At 44.4% G+C, this 18,772-nt stretch overlaps 4 long non-coding RNA genes across 5 annotated transcripts in view, besides 2 other annotated features; 1 reads left to right on the forward strand and 3 right to left on the reverse strand.

Annotated features, from left to right (window-relative positions):
* LINC00390 (long intergenic non-protein coding RNA 390) overlaps nucleotides 1–4,927 on the reverse strand; it is a 41,645-nt gene extending 36,718 nt beyond the window's left edge. The window contains exon 1 of the long non-coding RNA NR_132368.1: nucleotides 4,785–4,927. This is a non-coding gene — a long non-coding RNA (long intergenic non-protein coding RNA 390). The remainder of the gene's footprint in view (nucleotides 1–4,784) is intronic.
* The window catches only part of SMIM2-AS1 (SMIM2 antisense RNA 1), a 43,531-nt gene extending 32,260 nt beyond the window's left edge, over nucleotides 1–11,271 (forward strand). For both annotated transcript variants that reach the window (NR_104065.1, NR_104064.1), the window contains exons 2-5: nucleotides 749–929; nucleotides 3,974–4,047; nucleotides 5,130–5,268; nucleotides 10,839–11,271. This is a non-coding gene — a long non-coding RNA (SMIM2 antisense RNA 1). The remainder of the gene's footprint in view (nucleotides 1–748; nucleotides 930–3,973; nucleotides 4,048–5,129; nucleotides 5,269–10,838) is intronic.
* SMIM2 (small integral membrane protein 2) lies at nucleotides 342–18,449 on the reverse strand. Its single transcript, NR_197392.1, has 3 exons — nucleotides 18,337–18,449; nucleotides 17,795–18,123; nucleotides 342–1,114 (listed from the first exon to the last, which is right to left on the reverse strand). It is a non-coding gene; the product is annotated as a small integral membrane protein 2 (long non-coding RNA).
* Nucleotides 871–1,065: a silencer, noted in NCBI's record as "fragment chr13:44717815-44718009 (GRCh37/hg19 assembly coordinates)". NCBI's record gives its function as "represses an EF-1alpha promoter that drives an FKBP-Casp9 reporter gene in an ReSE screen in K562 erythroleukemia cells {active_cell/tissue: K562}" and the evidence as "EXISTENCE:reporter gene assay evidence [ECO:0000049][PMID:32094911]".
* On the reverse strand, nucleotides 3,662–15,414 carry SMIM2-IT1 (SMIM2 intronic transcript 1). The gene is made up of 3 exons (NR_046843.1): nucleotides 15,214–15,414; nucleotides 11,138–11,237; nucleotides 3,662–3,838 (listed from the first exon to the last, which is right to left on the reverse strand). It is a non-coding gene; the product is annotated as an SMIM2 intronic transcript 1 (long non-coding RNA).
* Nucleotides 16,381–17,580: an enhancer, noted in NCBI's record as "P300/CBP strongly-dependent group 1 enhancer chr13:44733325-44734524 (GRCh37/hg19 assembly coordinates)". NCBI's record gives its function as "activates an origin of replication core promoter dependent on BRD2, BRD4, P300/CBP, MED14 and CDK7 cofactors, with strong dependence on P300/CBP, by STARR-seq in HCT116 cells {active_cell/tissue: HCT116}" and the evidence as "EXISTENCE:reporter gene assay evidence [ECO:0000049][PMID:35650434]".
* Nucleotides 18,450–18,772: the final 323 nt, after the last annotated feature.

Below are 18,772 nucleotides of genomic sequence, written 5' to 3' on the forward strand. Positions count from 1 at the left end.
TTCAAGGGGGTCCCTGAGTTCTAAACTGCAGAGGAACACTCTTAAGAGAGATAATAAATATTTCCACCACATCTGTTATGGATAATATATATTTTGTCATCTATTTGCCAGAGACTGTTGTAAGTGCTTGTATACATTAAGTCACTTAATCTTTACAGTGAACACTAAGGTACATCCTATTATAATTCCCATTTTACAGAGACGTTAAATACCTATCTAGCTAAAAAATGTGGGAGCTGTTTTACATTCACGCAATCTAGCTGATAAAGCCACACACCTTAATGTTTGTACTATATATTATTGTGCAAGAGGTGTATTTGATAATGATTCTTGTGTCACCATTTACAAGATGCTTCTGGCTTTTATTAAACTCTCAAAGGGCAGGAAAAGAAAAAAAAATACAGAGGAACCTAAACCCTAAATCAGAGACAGACTACATGCAGATATACAAATGGATGATAAGAAACCAAAGTTGTGGGTACCATGTTTGCAATTCCGTTTTAGCTGAGTGCTTTGGACTATCACGTCCCTCAGTGGCTCCCTGGAGGAAGAATGATTGAATGACAGGATAGGAATGGAATGTAGCCATCATCTTATCTGACCACACAGACACCTCCCAGCAGATGAATGCATCACCTCCTCATGATAATTTTGAAGACTTTCTGAGAAAGTGATAATATTAGCCTATTACCTCACAACCACAAGGAACACTACAGTGACTACAAACCCTATGTGCCTCATTCAACAGGTGTCACAGAATAAAGAAAAAGACTGGGAGAGAGATGGGAGCTGATAGACCAGAGGAGACCAAAGACTGAAACTGAAGACTAAACCATGGAAATTGGGAACAAGCACTTACTCGCTTAGAGGGTGAAAAAAGTGAATTTGCCTACAGGGCCAATTTGGAAGCACCTCTCCCTGGAAGCCAGGTTAGAATTCCTACTAAGGTGTCCTTGGCCTCTTCAGTGGTGGTGGCCTTGAACTACACAGCACACTTGCACACTCAGCTTCTGAATGTCCAGAGCAGTCCTGAGTCTTGCCTGAGAAAAATACTCAGGTTCTTGGGCTTCATCTCTCCCTTCTGCCTTCTTTTCCTCCACCTTTCCAGGTCAGCCTGGGGAATATGAGATGTGAGGAGAGGGGTGAGTGGAGGCTGAGTTTTGACCAATGTTATATGACATTTGAACCTGACCTATGGCAAAAGGAAGATCCTTTGGGAGGCAGGCCTATGTTCTCATCCCTTTTTCTGCCCCTTTGGATCAATTAGCTCTCAATCATTTTCTCTGGGACTGGTAAAGAACAGAGAGGGGCACTGGACAACATCAGCCAAGTAAAAGTAGTGCGGGGGTTGGGTCCCAAGTGATCTGTCAACATCCTGAAATGATATTTTGAGTGACCAGAGAAAATGCAGTCTCCATGAAGGAGGGAAGTCTAGGGTGATTCCTGTAGAGAAATATTGGTTGTGAGATTTAAGGGGTGAACGTGAGATAGACAGGAAATGAGGCAAGAGGCTGAGAGTCAGTGGCACCACTTGCTTTGGAAATGGAGCAAAGTCTCCAGCAAAGGCTGTGAAGCTCACAAAAGCTTGGTCCTGGGGTGAGGTGTGGGGAGGGTTGGCCATATAGGACAAGAGCAGGGCTGCAGACTTAAAGGCCCAAGGACAAGCAATGTGACTCCCTTTCCAGCAAGATTGGGACCTCACCAAACTACCATTTCCCAAGCCCCTCCATCCAACAACTGGATATTCTCTCTATGGCATGAATAATAGCTATTGTGCCACATGGTATGCAAAGACAATTATTATAGATTTGCTTTGTACTGGGCTTTTGCTAATTGGCTATAAGTGCTAACCTTTCATAAGTGACTCTAAAAAGGATGATTTCTGCACAGCTCTCTAAGCATTTGTGGACCCAGTCAGGAAAGCTGAAAGAAGCAGCAGGCTTAGCAGACCATTCTGAATAGCTTTGGAGACATAAGCCAGGGAGACCCAGAATGAGATAAGGAAACCAGTCTTCTCATTTGGAACCTAGAACATTTGAATATGGACACTTTGATGTTCACCTTGGCACCATTAGTATTGAGCAGATTTGTTAAGTATTAGTTTGAACTGTATGATGTGCTGATGTTCAGCTGTTTTTGATGCACAAAACATAGCAATTTCCTATGGCTGAATCTAATAAAATCCTGAGGTAATAAGATATTCTAAGAGATGTTAACTTAGTTGACTGGGGGAGAATGAGGAACTTTGGGGGCCTAGGTCTCTAGGAGTGAGTGTTCCCAATTATAAACAATTCATTAAAAAGAGGCTTGCAGGATCTCCAGTTAAAAATTCTAGTTTCATTTATTTATTCATTCATTGTAACAATATCAGAAATCATTGAGCATCTCCCATGTGTCAGTCACTGTGCTAGAAAGACAGAATAAAATGATGGTCACTGCCCTGAAGGAACACACAGAATAGTGGGAAAGGAGTGAGGATGGTGCAGTGGACAAGGCTATAGGGAGGGCCCTGGGGAAACAGAAGAGGAACAGAGAGAATGATTCTGGGGAAGGAAAGGAGGAAGAGAAGGAGAGGTGTGGTCTTAGCCAGAGAAGGTTTTGATGTGGGAAAGACAAGTAATAATTAACCAAATAGGAAAGGCAGGAAGGAAAGTTCCAGACAAAACCAGGCAGAGATAACCATATGATTTAAAGAAACAAGTTATATTTAGAGTGAATATAGGTATATTAAGTCTACAGAAAGGCATTTATCAAAGGGCTTTAGGCGTCTCCAAGTCAGGAACCATGTCGTATTTACATTCATATAGCCAGTGTTGTGTCCAGGACCATACCTAGCACATGGTAGGTGCTTGGTAGATGTCAAAATAAACTGGCCTGGGGAAAAAAGCCTGAAATTGAAATATACCACAAATTTAAAAGAAACTTTTTCTTTCCTGCTCCCATTAGTCTGAATTGATGAGGTTTCAATGTATTACTTGAAATGTTATGGATGAAAACATTCATTTGCAACCTATCTCTAGAAAGAGATGTGGTTATGTAACCTTTTAATCTGTGTGTCTAAGTAGATGTCAAAAGTATGTGTTGCCTTGAGGACTTTTCTAAGTCTGTTCAATGTTGCTATAATAGAATACCTAAGCCTAGGTAATTTATAAAGAAAAGAGGTTTATTTAGCTCACAGCTGTGCAGTCTGGGAAGTATGAGAAGGATGGTGCCAACATCTGCTCAGCATCTGGTGAGAACCACGTGCTGGGTTAAAAAACATGGCAGAGAAGGTCGCAGGGGAAGCGAACATTTGTGAAGAGAGGCAAAACCTAAGGGGCTCCTGGTTTTATACCAACCCATTCTTGTGGAAACTAATCCATTCTCACAAGAACTAGTCTAGCCTCCCCAGAGCAGGAACTCAGTCACTTGGTGAGACCCATGACAAGCCATTCACGAAGGATCTGCCCCCATGACCCAAACACCTCCCATTAGGACCCACCTCCCAACACCACCACACTGGGGATCCAATTTCAACATGTGTTTGGTGGGAACAAATAAACCATATCCAAACCATAATAGAGACTTTTTCAGTTCCTTATTTTGAATATTTAGTGTGTACTCTCCATAGGCCAGATGATATAACAGGCTTGTGACCACAGTGGTAAATAAGACAAATATAGACCCTGCCTTGAGAGAGTTTAATATTTAGTAGCTAAAACAGTTATTATCTGTTAATTTGCCTGGATGAATCAGAGAAGGCTCTCAAATGAAGCAGCCTCTGGAAGACGAGGGCATTCCAGGGAGGAAGGGCGGCATATGCACCAGCATGGAGGCGGGAGGAGACAGCACGATGTACCTGAAGAAGAACAAATAATGAGTGCTACTTGGGGCTATTGGAAACGAGAAGGAAATGTGGAAGAAGAAGTTAAAAAGGTGGACAAGGGTTAGCTCTTGAAGTGTCTTGAAAAGGAGTTTGTATTTTATTTTGCAGTCAATGAAGAGCCATTGGAGGATTTTAAATAAGGAACCGAAAAATGGAGTCTGAAAATAGAGGCGCAGAGACCGGTAAGTTGGTGGTTGCCAATCAGTGGTCCAAGGAAAAGATAAATGAGCAGAGCCGTGATCAGGACCAGAGAGGAGGCAACAGAAAAGAGATGCTCAGGATACAATCGATGCGCTTCGAGAGTGACTGGAGGTGGGGCACTGTAGAATAAGTGACATGGAGAGATCTAGATTGACCTCTGGGCCTACAGCTCAGGAAAATGGGTGGGAGGTGGCATTCAGAGAGACCAGGAGCACTCCTTATCTTTCAGAGCCCAACACATAATCACCAACAGCTGACTTATGAATAAGATCTTGGGGTCCTTGAAACACCGAAACACTGGAATTTTTAGAATTTTACATTCTTACTGCCCAAGAAAACCCCTTGCAAAGAAAAAAAACAACTTAAGAAAAGTAAAAGTATTTAAAAGGCTCCAACTTCTCCCAAACACCTCCTCTTTTCTGACTCTCCCAATTGTATAGTCACAGCAATAATAGCAGCCACATATTAAGTCATTACCATCTATAGCCAAATAACTGCAAAACCACAAGAGGGCAATGAAAATGGCCATAAAGGCACAGAGTAGTAATTATTTTCCCATTAGCACCAGCTACACTAATATCAACATAGAACAATTAACATTCCTAACCTCATAATTAGGCTATAACCTCTGCATGTCTTGCCAGAGTAGATTGATGAATGGCACAGGAGGAATAAGCAACAATAAGGCAGCCGTGCAGTGAGACCACTGCATCCTCACCTTGTCTGCGGGTGATCCACAGTGCTGTTGGATAGAAAGGCAGTGGGAGAACTTGGTTGTGATTTCCACTGATCTAGCCAGTCCCCAGCTAAAAGCCATCGAATTCAGCTGCACTTTCTTTGAGTCCCAGGAAGTGAGTGTTTGAGTGGGAGAAAAGCTACAGCAGTAATAACACAGAAGGCAGAGTCCTTTTGCATTTATATCTCTTTATTCTGTCCATCACTAGGCAACCATTCTTTGTGCTTAAAACTACACATCTTTGTACATGTGACACCTTCTACTCTGAAGTAACCACTTTGGTTTGCAGTGTGCTAGGGGATATCTATTCTGTTTATTTCTGTTTAGGTCAACCACAATGAAGAACAAGCCATTTTGACCTCCATCCTGGCTCATCTCCTCTGTGTTCTCATAGCATCATATTATAGAATGGATCACAAACGCCTTTGCAGTTGCCTATTTATTTGTCCATTTCTCCCTCCAGACTGTGAGTTCCCAGAGGGCATGTCTTATCTATGTTAGTAGCCACATCCCCGGTATCTGGCTCTGTGGACAACACTCCGTAACTGTTGGAGGAATGAATGAATGAGTGAGTGAGTGAGTGAATGTTTTCCCTGAAATTCAAACCTTGATGGTTGAACTTGTCATTATTTGGTTTACGGAACAAGCTAGGCTGATTGAATTGACTTGGCCAGGCACAATTAGGCAAAATGTAACACAAAGAAGATGAGTACACCAGCCTTGCTGATTGAGGAGATCAGCTGTGGATGAGCCAAGTGCCAGCTGCCAGCTGCAGTTGCAAGGCCATGTTCTTCTTCTAGCTAGGAACATTCTGTGGCAGAGACTCACTCAGGGGTCTGAATATCAGAATCACAACCAGAAAATGGCTCATTATTGCACAGACAAATAATTGGCGGCTCTCTCCAAGTAACAGTGTCTTAAGTTAGGTTCCCTAGAAGCAGATTATAAAACGAAGACTCTTGGTCAAGTGATTTACTGAGCTCATGCTCTCAGGAGAAAAGGAGTGAGAGGAGCATAATAGGCAGGGAGAAAAGCTAGAGGAGAGCTCAGCTGGCGACTGGCTGCAGCCTGATCACCTTGAGCTATGGAGCTGGCCAACCCTTTGTCTCTCTGTGTGGATTAGTCATTGGCTGTGGGCTATCCCTGGGGGCAGGAACCATAACCTCCTAGTGAACACAGCTCTTATTTCAGTAGAGAGCAATTCTCTGGAAAAGTGGGCAGCTGTGAGCTATTGAAAGTCAGTACCCAGAGCTGGAGGATGGGTGCACGGCTGGTAAAGGTGCTCTGGGCATGGCACCTCCAGCATCTACCAGAGTTGGATTGTGGGAAATATTGTTATAGTCACTTTTCAAAAGAATATATTTATGCAGCCAACAGACATATGAAAAAATGCTCATGATCACTGGTCATTAAAGAAATGCAAATCAAAACCACAGTAAGATGCCATCTCACGCCAGTTAGAATGGCGATCATCAAAAAGTCAGTAAACAACAGATGCTGGAGAGGATGTGGAGAAATAGGAATGCTTTTACACTGTTGGTGGGAGTGTAAATTAGTTCAGCCATTGAGGAAGACAGTGTGGCGATTCCTCAAGGATCTAGAACTGGAAATACCATTTGACCCAGCAATCCCATTACTGGGCTTATACCCAAGGGATTATAAATCATTCTACTATAAAGACACATGCACAGGTATATTTATTGCGGCACTATTCACAATAGCAAAGACTTGGAACCAACCCAAATGTCCATCAATAATAGACTGGATAAAGAAAATGTGGCACATATACACCATGGAATACTATGCAGCCATAAAAAAGGATGAGTTAATGTCCTTTGTGGGGACACGGATGAAGCTGGAAACCATCATTCTCAGCAAACGATCACAAGAACAGAAAACCAAACACTGCATGTTCTCACTCATAAGTGGGAGTTGAACAATGAGAACACATGGACATAGGGAGGGGAACATTACACAATGGGGCCTATTGTGGGGTGGGAGGGTAGGGGAGGAATAACATTAGGAGAAATACCTAATGTAGGTGATGGGTTGATGGGTGCAGCAAACCATCATGACACATGTAGACCTACGTAACAAAACTGCACGTTCTGCACATGTACCCCAGAACTTAAAGTATAATGAAAAAAACGAGTTAAAAAAAAAAGAAATATTGTCATAGTAATCACTACCGATTATTGAGCACCTACTATATGCCTAGTGCTGTGCTAAATATATGTATTTGCCCAGATACTCCTTTGGATACACCTGTTAGAAAGGTAATATACTAGCATTTCCATCCGGCAGATGAAACTCAGATTAGTGCTTAGAATATTTCCTTTCTGTGTCTACATTCCTATGATAGAATCAGGATATTGCACCTCCAACTGGCCTGAATTCCATGCATTCATTCTACTCATGAATTCCACCAATGCTTTTGAGCACCTATTACGTACCAAGACTACGCTAGGCCCTAGGGATATATCAGTGAAATGATAGTCTTGGATCCTTTCCTCAAAGGATAAGACTAAGCCTCAGGCCTAGATCCAATGTGATCTAATTAAAAAATATTATTTGGACATCTGCTATGTACATTCTGATTCACCACGCTTAATCAAGAAATAATCCAGACCCCATGCCTCTGTAAAAGTCCACTTGAATCCCTCATATAAAACATGCTACTAGATTGGGAAAGCCTGTTTTCAATACTTCATACAAACCAAGCACGGCAGGCACCTTCCCTGTGCATGAAGATTAAACTTGGTGATCTCTAAATTCCCTTCCAGCTATCACATCGTCAGATTCCCACCTCTGACCATCCACAGTGCTCATGTCTACACTTTTACTGGGGACTGTGATGGTCTGTTTTGTGTGTCAACTTGGCTAGGCTATAGCCAGTTACTCAATCAAACACTTATCTAGGTGTTGCTATGGCAATATTTTGTAGATGTGATTAACATCTACAATCACTTGCCTTTAAGTAAAGGAGATTATTGTCACTAGTATGGGTGGACCTCATTCAATCAGTGAAATGCCTTAGGAACAAAACTGAGGTTTCTCTGAGGAAGAAGAAATCCTGCCTCTGGAGTGTACCTTCACCTCTTCCTGAGTTTCCAGCCTGCCAGCCTGCACTACAAATTTTAGACTTTCAAGCCACCCCCACAATCACTTAAGTCAATTCGTTGAAATAAAACTCTCTCTCCCTCTTTCTCAACACACACACACACACACACACACACACACACACCTCTCCTGTTGGTTCTGTTTCTCTGGAGAACCCTGAATGACACAGGGACCCACCATGTACTTTTCTTATTGTAATATCGTCTGGTATATACAGTTTTACAGCTTCCGATGTGCATAGTTTTGGCCCATCCGGGTTACTAGTAGGCAGATGAAGCCCATGCTTAGAACACCAACAAAACAAGGGTACTAGAACATGAGAAAAGCTCATCTTCAATTCAATTAGCTTAACCAGAGTTTTGCAATAAGAACATGCAGAAATTTTGCTTACTCATAAATTCTGGTTTTTTTTAAAAAAATTATCTGTATGTGGGTGAGAAGGACTATAATCATTTCAGGTTGGAGCCCCTAAATGTATTAATCCAGCTCTGTACATCTCCAAGTAGAATATAAGGTCCATGAGGTCAGAGGCCAAGCCTTGGTTTTTTTATGAGCCTATAGTACCCAGTATGATGTTTTACAGATAATCACATACATAGAAGGTGCTGCATCAACCTATTATTTTCCTTTTGTTTTATTATCCAGAATATATTAACTTTGGGAAATGGGAAAAACAGGCTCAGAGAAATGCAGATTTGTTTGTTTTTAGGGAAATTGATTTACCATCTCCAAAGGAGAGGCTGCTTCCTCCATATGGCTAGATTTATTATCTGGAAAACAGTCCAGAGACCAGCCTTTCTCTTGTTTCTGTGTCCATTGGCAGGTGCTGGCAGTCCAACTGACTGACATGTGTCAGGCTTTGTGAGTGTTTTAAGAGAGATTCATTTTGCAACAGCACGTAGGCAGGCTGTCCCAAGCCAGCAGCAAGCATTGTTGGCAGTGGAAGGGATTAAAAGGACTTTCGCAGAGACTCAGAGTCTAGACTCTTTCTGGAACACAACCTGGAATAGCAGTGTGATGTGTAAACAGCAGATGTCCAATAAATTTGTGTTTATAGGCTAGCTGACCTTTGACCCCTAAATGATTAGCATCTCTGATGGAGTATGTAGAAAGGGGTCCAGATCCTTAAGCAAATAACTTCCACTTCGAGTGAGAATCTATCAACTTGAAAAGAGTTGTTTCAGCCATAAAAAGGGACTTCAGGTTGAGTCCAGCCTGTGGTGGGAAACTTCCACTAACTTGAGTGTGCACCCTGGTCTCTCTTACCCAACCAAAAACAAAACTGGTCATACAGCCTGACATTACAGAAATAGAGGATAGAACTCGGAGCCCAAGAGAAATATATGGAAAGTCTTCCAGAATAAGAAAATTAGGAGAATTATAAGACAACTGTGTGTAGGGGTACCCCAAAGGCACTGAAGAGAGAAAAGCAACACAAGAGCCGAATGAACTCCATCTCCCATGCATCTCTGAAAGGTTTTCCTGCAACTCCAGTAATGTTGACCACTTTCCTGCAGGCCTTGCTGGCCCTGTCCTTCCCTCCCTTCATCCAGTCCCCTCCACACCGGCCAGAGTGAGGCTCTCTATGCCCTCTGTCTACCTAAAGCCGGTTATGTAAAGCCCACAGCCTTCACAGGACACTCAGAAGCTTTCAGAACTAGCTATTCTCAGCCTCTCTCCAGCTGCATCCCCTCACGATGCCTTGCCCTGGATGTTCTTTGGTCACACAGAACTATTTCACATTACTTTAACTACTCCATGCCCTTCCAGCTTCCAGGCCAAAAATGCCTTCAGCCAACCTTTCAAAAGTTCACCAACCCTTCGAGGCCCAGTTCAAAGCTAGCTCCCATCTCCTCTGGCTGAATCAATCAGCCTTTCTTTGATGCTTTCCTAATACTCCCTACTCTCCATGGATATTGTATTCCAATCATTTATATAGTATATTCACACTTCAATTCTCAGCAGAATGTGAGCTCTTCAAAATGTCTGGGCAATGGTTATTTTTAAAATTCTTGGTGCCTTGTTCCATACTTCTCACTTAGTAGGTCCTCAATAAATAGAGGTAGATAAATGAAGTAATCAACTAAGTGACGTATATTGTCAAGCCTGCCATTCAGCTCACACTCAGGCATTCTCTCAAGCTCTTCCTCCATTTTACCCCATCTGAAAATTGATGCTTGTTAGTGTGTCCAATACTACTGCCGCAGATTTCCATATATGCCCCGTGCCTTCCACACAGACTCTGTGCTCATGTTGCAGGAAATAAGCTTCTCAGGCTGTACCGCATCCAGCACCAAGCAATGTGAATATGGGGTGTCCAATAAACACTAATTACGTTAATGATTTGTGATATTTTTCTGCCATTCAGTTATGTGCTTTGAAGAAAGACATAATGGCACAGAGTCAAAGGCCAATCTGAATTGCAGAGAAATCCACTTGTTGGTGGGGGGCACTGGGTGCACTCTCTGCCTTCCTTCAGTCATTCTCTATCCACTGCGGGTGGGTGGCCCTCAGACACAAAGGGATCCATCCCACTGCAGGGCCCTGTTTGTGGAGGGGCTGATAAGTAACCTCTCTCAAGTCAGGTGTAGCTCTGTAGCTCTTAGGCCAGGAGAGAAGCTAGAAACATGCTGTGGCACCCAGTTCCAGGTCTCCAAAGACCTTGCCTCATTTGACTGGGGGTTGCTCTTCAGATCGAACTGAGGTGTAATTCAGCTTAAATCAACATTCAGGATGAGCCCTAACAAACAACAGCTTTTCATTGCTGCTGTAGCTCCATAAGCAAGATTATCTTAGCAATTAGAGGGTAATTATTGTCTACAATCAGAAGGGGAGAAGTGTCAGAACGAGGCCAGCAGAAGCGGTGACATAATGGATAATTTATTAGATGGTGACTGGATGTTTTTCTCTCTCCAGGCCTTTGTGAGAAAAACACCCAAATGCCACAAGTGCATCCCCAGGGAGGTGCAGGGTGGCAGGAGCTGAGGATGCAAAAACATAATTGCTTTCTATCTACTCTGATTTGAGCTTCATCAAATCCTTTGGCTCCCAAGGCATTCTGCAGCAGATGTGTGCACAATATTCCAGCACTAGGACTTGTGTCTGCGGGTACTGCTCGAGGCCCAAGAGTCTGAGGGTCTGCAAAGCCTCCAAGCCCTTCCCCTTCCTCCCAGGCCTCAGGGCCTGTGCTGGCCACCCTCCTATACAGCCCTTACTTGGCATTCTTGCTAAGTCCTGTGGGGGCTCCATCCTTGACTCTTTTCATTCCACGCTGATGTCTTCTGGGCTCTGCGCCTCAGGGGAGAACTTGCAATGCTAGTAATAAACAAAGAGTACTCATGATAAAAAATGAATTTTGCTGCCTTAAGAGAGAACAGCAGAGCTTAAGGGCTTTCGTAGGTTTCTGAACAGCCACCTATCTTTTCCGGCCGTTGTCCACCCATGCACCCATCCATTCTGTAAAACTGTTTTGTGCTCACTGTGCTCAAAAAGCAGGAAGGTTTTTCCCCAAGGTAGTTCACAGCAGAGTGAAATACAGACTAGAAACCAGATAAGCACCATGAAGCGATTTGAAGATAAAAGATCATTGTCCTCTACCATAAACCATGAGGCCTTAGGGAGACATGAGTATACTCACACCCTCCGCCATGACAAGGCAATAGCTTATACATGGGATTTCAGCTCCCCCAGAAGAGCTAAAGAAGGGAAACCTACTAATGCCAGTGTTTGGTCACATAGAAGGCGCTGAAAAACCCATGGTGACCAAAAAGGCCAGTGGTTGCCCCACCCTCCAACGCGCACACACACACACACACACACACACACACACTCCAATTTGACCCAGCCATACTATTGCACCTCTCTGACACAATAGGCTGTTTCATATACCTTTGCTATCTTTATGTTTGTCTTCCAGGGCCTGGTCTGCTTGGTGAGACCTCAGCAGCTTTGGAACCTGCTTTTCTAGAGACCTCTCCAGAATCTCCTGGCCAGGTTCAACCTCCACCATTACTGTGCATTGTCCAAATCTTCCTTGCACTTAGCACCCTGGCGCATGTGTGTGTGATCACAGGCCAGCCAGTGAGTGTGCACTTGGAAAGTTCACTCATCCTTAAAACCGTGAGGCCCAGAACAAAAACAATCAGATGTTCTGAAAAGTATCAGTGTTAAATACTGAAGTATCTTCTTGTTAAAATATTCTTCTTGATCTGTCTCTCATATTCAATCATTCACTAACTCAATTTCAGACATTTATTGAGCACCTACTATGTGCCAGACATTATGCTCAGCCTACCTGTCATGGTCTCTTGAAAAGAATCTTCTAAACCTGCATCTTAAAATTACCTTTGGGGATTGTGCTGATAATGTGTATTCAAGTCTTGTGGTGAACAGGAGGAAAAATATATCATCTTACATTTGCACAGGTTATTTATTTGTTATAAAGCAGCTTCAAACCGTTTGGTTAAGACCTCTCACAGTTGAGCAAGTAGAGTTGTGCTGAATTCTAATATAGGGAACCATGGGGGGCAACATGGTTTGAAAATCTGAGCTGTGTGTCTTCTCTGGAGAGAGCACATGCATCCACTAGCTCCTGACCCCACTTTGAAACAGGGATGGATAACAAATGGCATCAGTGCCACTCAAAGAGTTGTAAGTGGCAGCCAGCTACTCCTCTGCCTACTGATCACTTTGTGTATTCATTTTCCTCTTTTCTCATTTTGCTCTCTCCCATTTCCTATCTTCCCTTGCTTTCTGCTTTCTCTCTTTCTGATGACTTTATCCTCCCATACATTCATGCCCTTGAAGGGCATCGCTTAGCACCCGCCACTAGGCACTCCTCAAGAGGTTTGCTTCCCCTTTGCTTCTAGGCTGGATTAAACCCACGTTCCAGGATGTGGTATGGGAGGCAGGGAGGGCCAGAACTGGCACAGCCTCTGTGTTCTCGGGCTGCTGATCATTCCATTCCACACCAGACCTTCTGAGGTGAATGAGCTAAAGCAGCGGCACAGGTCTGAGCCATAAACAAGGCAGCACCCAGGAGCAGGCCATTGTTGCTTTGTCTGGTTTGAGCACTCAGCTTTGTACAAGTCAGACAAGACGCCTGGACATGGAGCTTGGGCTCCTGCCCAGGGTTTCATTCTCACTGTCGCAAAGCCACAGATTGGAAGCAGAAAGGCAATGCTTGCTTTCAACCCCCGTGCACACAGAAAAGCCTCCTCAGCCCAGTATCAGCTTCCCTAAACACCACCCAGGGGGCAGTGAATGTTGACTGGTCCTGATTTATTGGAGCAGAAGAGGAAAAGAAATGACAAGCCCTAAATGTCAAGACGAGGAGGTGTGTGGCCTGGCCGTAAAGAGAGCCGAGAGCGTGCACTGGGATGGGTCACGTGACTAGGATTCTCAAGCCAGGAGAGACCAGGAGCCAATTCAAGTGGGAGGTGTCAGAAATGCAAAGTCGGCTGTAAAAATGTCAAGAGCAAGGCTGGGAATAAGGCAAAGGGAAGACTGCCTTCTGTTTTGTGGGAGGCAGGTTACAAAATGTTAGGAGTGCACATTTACTTTCATGTGTCTGCTTGGTTGCAAGTCGAATCTGCTGTCTGCTGGAACTCCGGAGAACTGATAGGAATGCAGCATCCAGGAACCTGATCCTACCCCAGGGAGTTCTGATGCTACCTTCCTATGCTGCAGAGGACTCTCCTGCTGCAGCTCTAAGAGAAATTTAGACAGTAAGTCAATCCAGACATGCCCTGTGAAAGTGAGATCTTATTGGCATGGCTTGCCCGGTGAAAGGTAATGAGGAGTAGCTGAGGCTGCACCTGCTCAGGAGCCCATGTGCTCAACAAGAAAACTCCAAGCTTGCTTCAATTTGGCATTGTTTTTAGTGAACGTTCACTGTTTTAATTCCATTCACTGTTTCTTATTTATTTGAGATGGGGTCTCTGTCACCCAAGCTGGAGAGCAGTGGTGTCATCTTAGCTCGCTGCAGCCTCAAACTCCCTGGCTCAAGTGATCCTCCCACCTCAGCCTCCCCAGTTGAGACCACAAGCATGCACCCATCTTCATTCTTTGTTTCTTATCCTTGCTGGACTACTGCAGGGGTCCTCCTGGAGATGAGATTCTTCCAACCTGAAAAACTCTATAATTATTTCTGCCAGAGCCAAAATCTTCCTGGTCAATGGCTGAAAGGGGGCAATGCTCAACATGGAAATGCATACCTGCCACGCTTAGCAGGAATCTGGCGGGGCTGAAAACCCACCACATACAAGGCACTCTCAGGAGGCAGGAACTGGGCCACTGTCTTAGTTTCAATTCCTGAAACAGGAATCTAGATGCACATGTTTACTGGGGATATGATCCCCAGAAACACAGTGAGGGATTGGAGAAGCAAGATAGAGAGAGGTGGGTTAGCCAATAAAGGGGGTGTACATGAGCAGGATGCTGCACAGAGCACTTGGGTTTTACTTCCTCTGGAGTCCCTCTCAAAGGCTCAGTGGAAAACACCTCGATTTTCCTGTTGGCAGGGGGTATAAAAAAACGGAGACTTTTTTTTTTTAACAAGCTCCATCCTTCATTGGTTAAGGGTTGCTCCAGGCCCCTTTAACTCTGATGCTCTTCTGGGCTTCCCCATGCATGGGGCTTAACAAATTTCTGTGGCCAGAGAGAGCCATCAGGCAGAGATGTGGAAGCTTTAGGTAAGAAGCTACAGTGTGTCCATGAAGCTGCAGATGACCTGCAAGGGAACATGCTCCATCCACTTGCAACAGCCATCATGACAGTAATGTCTTCTCATCTGTGTGCCCAAACATGTGCACATGTGCATACACACACACACACACACACAAATGCAAATTGTTGTACCTTTTTCTCATTTGCACTCCCCCTCACCATGACCATGTAAAAATCGAGTCTCCAAATAGTTTCAGCCCTGCTGAGCCATATAGCCTTGCCTTGCAATACGAGCAAGTAGAAGCAGTTATCTGTAGCCTCCCAGGCCCCAGCTACTCCATTGTAAATCCATGCCAGTTTCTAACTTCAGCCCAGCTGGAAAGGCTAGGACTTGCGTTGGCTGTTTTGCTTAAGCCCTGCTGAAGGGCAACATGGGGTGATGGGAAAAACTGGAACAGATGTCAGGAATTTGAGGTTTCTTGTGTCCTGTCCGCCAGTAAGTTACATAACTTCCTTAGTTGACTTCTAGAACTTAGTTTCTCCCTTGGTAGAACTAGAGTAATAATACCCGCCCTATTTGCCTCCAAGAGTTGTAGGAAGACTCAAAAGGAGCCAATTCACGTACCTGGGATCACCTTGACGTGGCAGGGATGTTCCTTGCAAAGCCTTATCCTGCTCAATCTTCACCTAATTACGTTGGTTTTAGGCTTGAAGCAGGGGCCTTGCTGGCTGACCTCTCAAAGCCTCCCTTTCCCTTGTTCCCATGTGTAGCATTCTGTTTTGGGAGCACAGAATGTCCTCTGGTCTAGAGGAAGCTAAGCCACTGTTTGCAATCAGTCCAAGCAGATCAAGTTAAGGACCAGGCCATTTTGGAGGCACACAAGGACTCCTCTTGGCAGATGGGCACGACAGGCTTGCTTGCAGACTGAGTGGTGAACAGCCCCTTCCATCTCTTCGTTTGCTTGTATCAAATAGCAAATTCCAGAATCACTATACAGAGTGGTGGATGGGGCAATACAACTTACCCAAAATATTAATAGGCACTCATGAGGGCACCAGCTGTTGTGACTAGTCTGTGTCATTAAGGCCTGTGTGATGTCAACAGAGAAGCCATTGTTGGCTGGACCTGCCCCCACCAGCTCAACCAGGGAGTGTTTGTCAGTCACTTAGGAAGAGCTGCCTTAAAGGGTGAGTGTGGTTCTCAAAGGTGGGAAAAACTAACAATTCTTGAAGAGGACTCAAGGTTTATTGGACCACCAAATACTGGAGTTGATGCTGAAGTCTATAACAATGGTAACAATACTCAGGGTGTATCCATTGTGGGCCCAGCCAATGGATACTCTGGGGAGTATTGAGGGGAGGGGTGTTGAGTCCTTCTACACAGGCTCAGAAAGAAAGGTTCTTATCATCCACTTAGAAACAATGGAAGCAAAGTAACTCTCTGGGACAGAAACTTTGTCGGTCAGGGAGAGGCTTGAAGGAGACTCTAAATGGTTCCCAGAATGAATTCCCACGTAAACCTAAAGAATGCTGATGGAGAGAAGCCACTGCTCATTCTTCTTTTTAAGCCAAATAATATCCTTCTGCCGGAACAAAGTTGTTCTTGGCACTTGGAAGTAAATGTGAGGAGGGAATCAAAACACAACGCCTGAGAGACAAATCCATAAGAAATCTGAAGGCCAGGACGTGGTGAAAAGTAATAAAGATAGAAGGGTCAGTGGCAGGAACAAAGATTAACTGTACCAGAGGAGATGGCGCTTTGGCTCTGAAAATAGGATTGAGCGAAAGCCGGAAGTGCTGCAGAGACGCACGTGTCCTTCGTTTCCACCCTGAAGGCTCAAAGGAAGGCCGCTGCCCAGCCACGCGGAGGCTGCAGGACAGGGTTCTGGAAGCTGGGGCCTCCTTGCCCTAATCCTGGAAGGATATTCCACATCTAAATCACCGAAGCTTCATCCTGTGATGCAGAAGCTCTCCCCTTGTGAACAACCAACACAGGAAGTAGTGAAACCTGGTAGAGAGAATATTATCTTTCTCCACCTTCAATTATACCAGAACTGCCTCCAGGGACTTTGGCAGGTTTGACAAATGGCAGAAGAATTTAGAAGATTTTCTTTGCTGGCAAAGGGAGCCAATGGTTGGGCACAAATGTGCTGCTGCGGTTGTTTGTACAATGAAACTCTAGATTGTAGGCAGAAATGTCAGGTTCCTTTCAACTCTCTTCAGAGCTAATCTAGTTCCCATGTGCAAACTCAATCTATAGCATTTGGGTAAAGAATACTCAGTCCTCTGCTGTGACAAGAACAAATTCATCACCCACACCATACATTGTAGCTAAGGGCATCATCGTGCCCACATGAATCACCAGGCAGAGACGGCTGCCAACTCTGAAATTCTTTACTCATGGAAGACTCACGTATACTAATGCCGACTATTTACGCAAGCACATTTCTCCAGGTGGCCTGGAGCAGTTTACAAGATGCTGGCTCATTCCTCATCATGCCACTTGGAAGGAGAGCAAAAGGTGGGGAAAGAGGAAGGGCCAACATCATCATCTGCATTTTATGTGGGGAAACTGAGGCTCACATAAGCCGTAAAGTGAAATGTATAGACATTTATGAGTCAGAAATCGACCATGGAAGAGGCAAAATGAGCTTATCTGAATCATGAGTGGACTATTTCTTGCCCAACAATTTCATGCAGCTCTTCCAACACAACTGTTTTGATACAGCAGCCTCAAAACAAGCCAAAATTCAGACTCGCTGTATTTGGTTTATAACCAGTTTCCCATCTTTCATTCCTTCTCTGACTTCTACCTGACTTCTGAATTTGGTTGACCCTGTTTTTTTGTTTGTTTGTTTGTTTTGTTTTACTTTAAAAGACCCTCAACCCTCCTGGAGTCCTGACCTGCTATTTCTTTCATTTTGAACCTCTACCAGTCCTTTCCTTCATCTGTTACCAATCCATACACCCTTGATGCCTGGAGGTAAGATTGACAATGGAGGGGGGGAGGTGAAGATCAAGGTTGAGGTGAAGCTCACAGATGGCCTGCAAGATGCCTATTTTACTCATCATTTATTTTTTAAAAAGCTGAACATTTATCGGCTGAATCTTTGAGCCATACCAAAATATCCTCATGTCAAAATAGCTGCAGTAAAGTGGTTCTATTAAAATAGCTGCCTCCAAAGAACTGAGAGTGGAGATGTCACCTGCTTCTGGCACCTGACTTTGGTCCTCTTCTGCGTGGCATTGCCTTCTGCTCTGCTGGATTCTGGCGTATGGCTCATCAGAGGAGGCACTAACATCAGGGCTGCCTTTTATCTTGCTGATCCAAGCGAGGACTATGTAGGTGTCACAGATGAAACTCGTCCAGAAGCCGAACAGGATGCTAATGGCATGGCCACGTGTTTCCAGCACCCTGTGAGGCAGCTGGCTGGCATCAATCCTCTCCCCAGCTTCCATCCCACCCCCATCCACCCATAAGCTCTTCTTGGGTCAGAAATGCAATTCTTTGATGGTGCCAGACAGCCAGATGATGCTGGAAAGAAGAAAGAAAAAGAAAAAGCAGGTTTCTAAATTAAGCACAAGGCTCGTTTATAAAAATAAATAGCCACAGCCTAGCAACGTGCTCACAGCTCAGCTTTCCTCCGTAATAAAACCTCTGTGGCTGAAGCCTGGGATGACACAGCCTTCAGAGGGCCCCACGCCCTGGCCCTCCTCATGCCCTGGCCTCTCCCAGGATAATACTCACCTGGAGAGTGCTGACAGTGGTACTTTTGGGGCCCCACTCTTCATTCAAGGCCAACCAAAGGCCAGGCTCCAAAAAGCAGAAGGAAGGCAGAGCTTAATGAGGCCCATGAACACTTACAGACTCTTGGCAGTAACTAATACACCTGTAGCAAAAGTGGTTGAAGTTCCTTGGGCTACTCTGTTGAAATAGGAACTTCTAGTTAAGACCATGTCTTCTTTGTTCACCATTGAACAGTACTCAGCTAAGCACAGGGCACGTATTGAGTACTCAACCAGTATGTGAGGAAAGACTGGTTAGAGGTATAAATGAATGAATGAATGTTGCCATCCCATTATTGATGCTCTCCAAACTCTTCACTACAAATGGAGTCAGTTCCAGAATCCAAAGCCAGCATTCTTCTCCTGATTATGACATGCACCAAAGAGGCATCCCCTGA

Source organism: Homo sapiens, chromosome 13 (assembly GCF_000001405.40).
Source record: "Homo sapiens chromosome 13, GRCh38.p14 Primary Assembly".
Classification (NCBI taxonomy): Eukaryota; Metazoa; Chordata; class Mammalia; order Primates; family Hominidae; genus Homo; species Homo sapiens.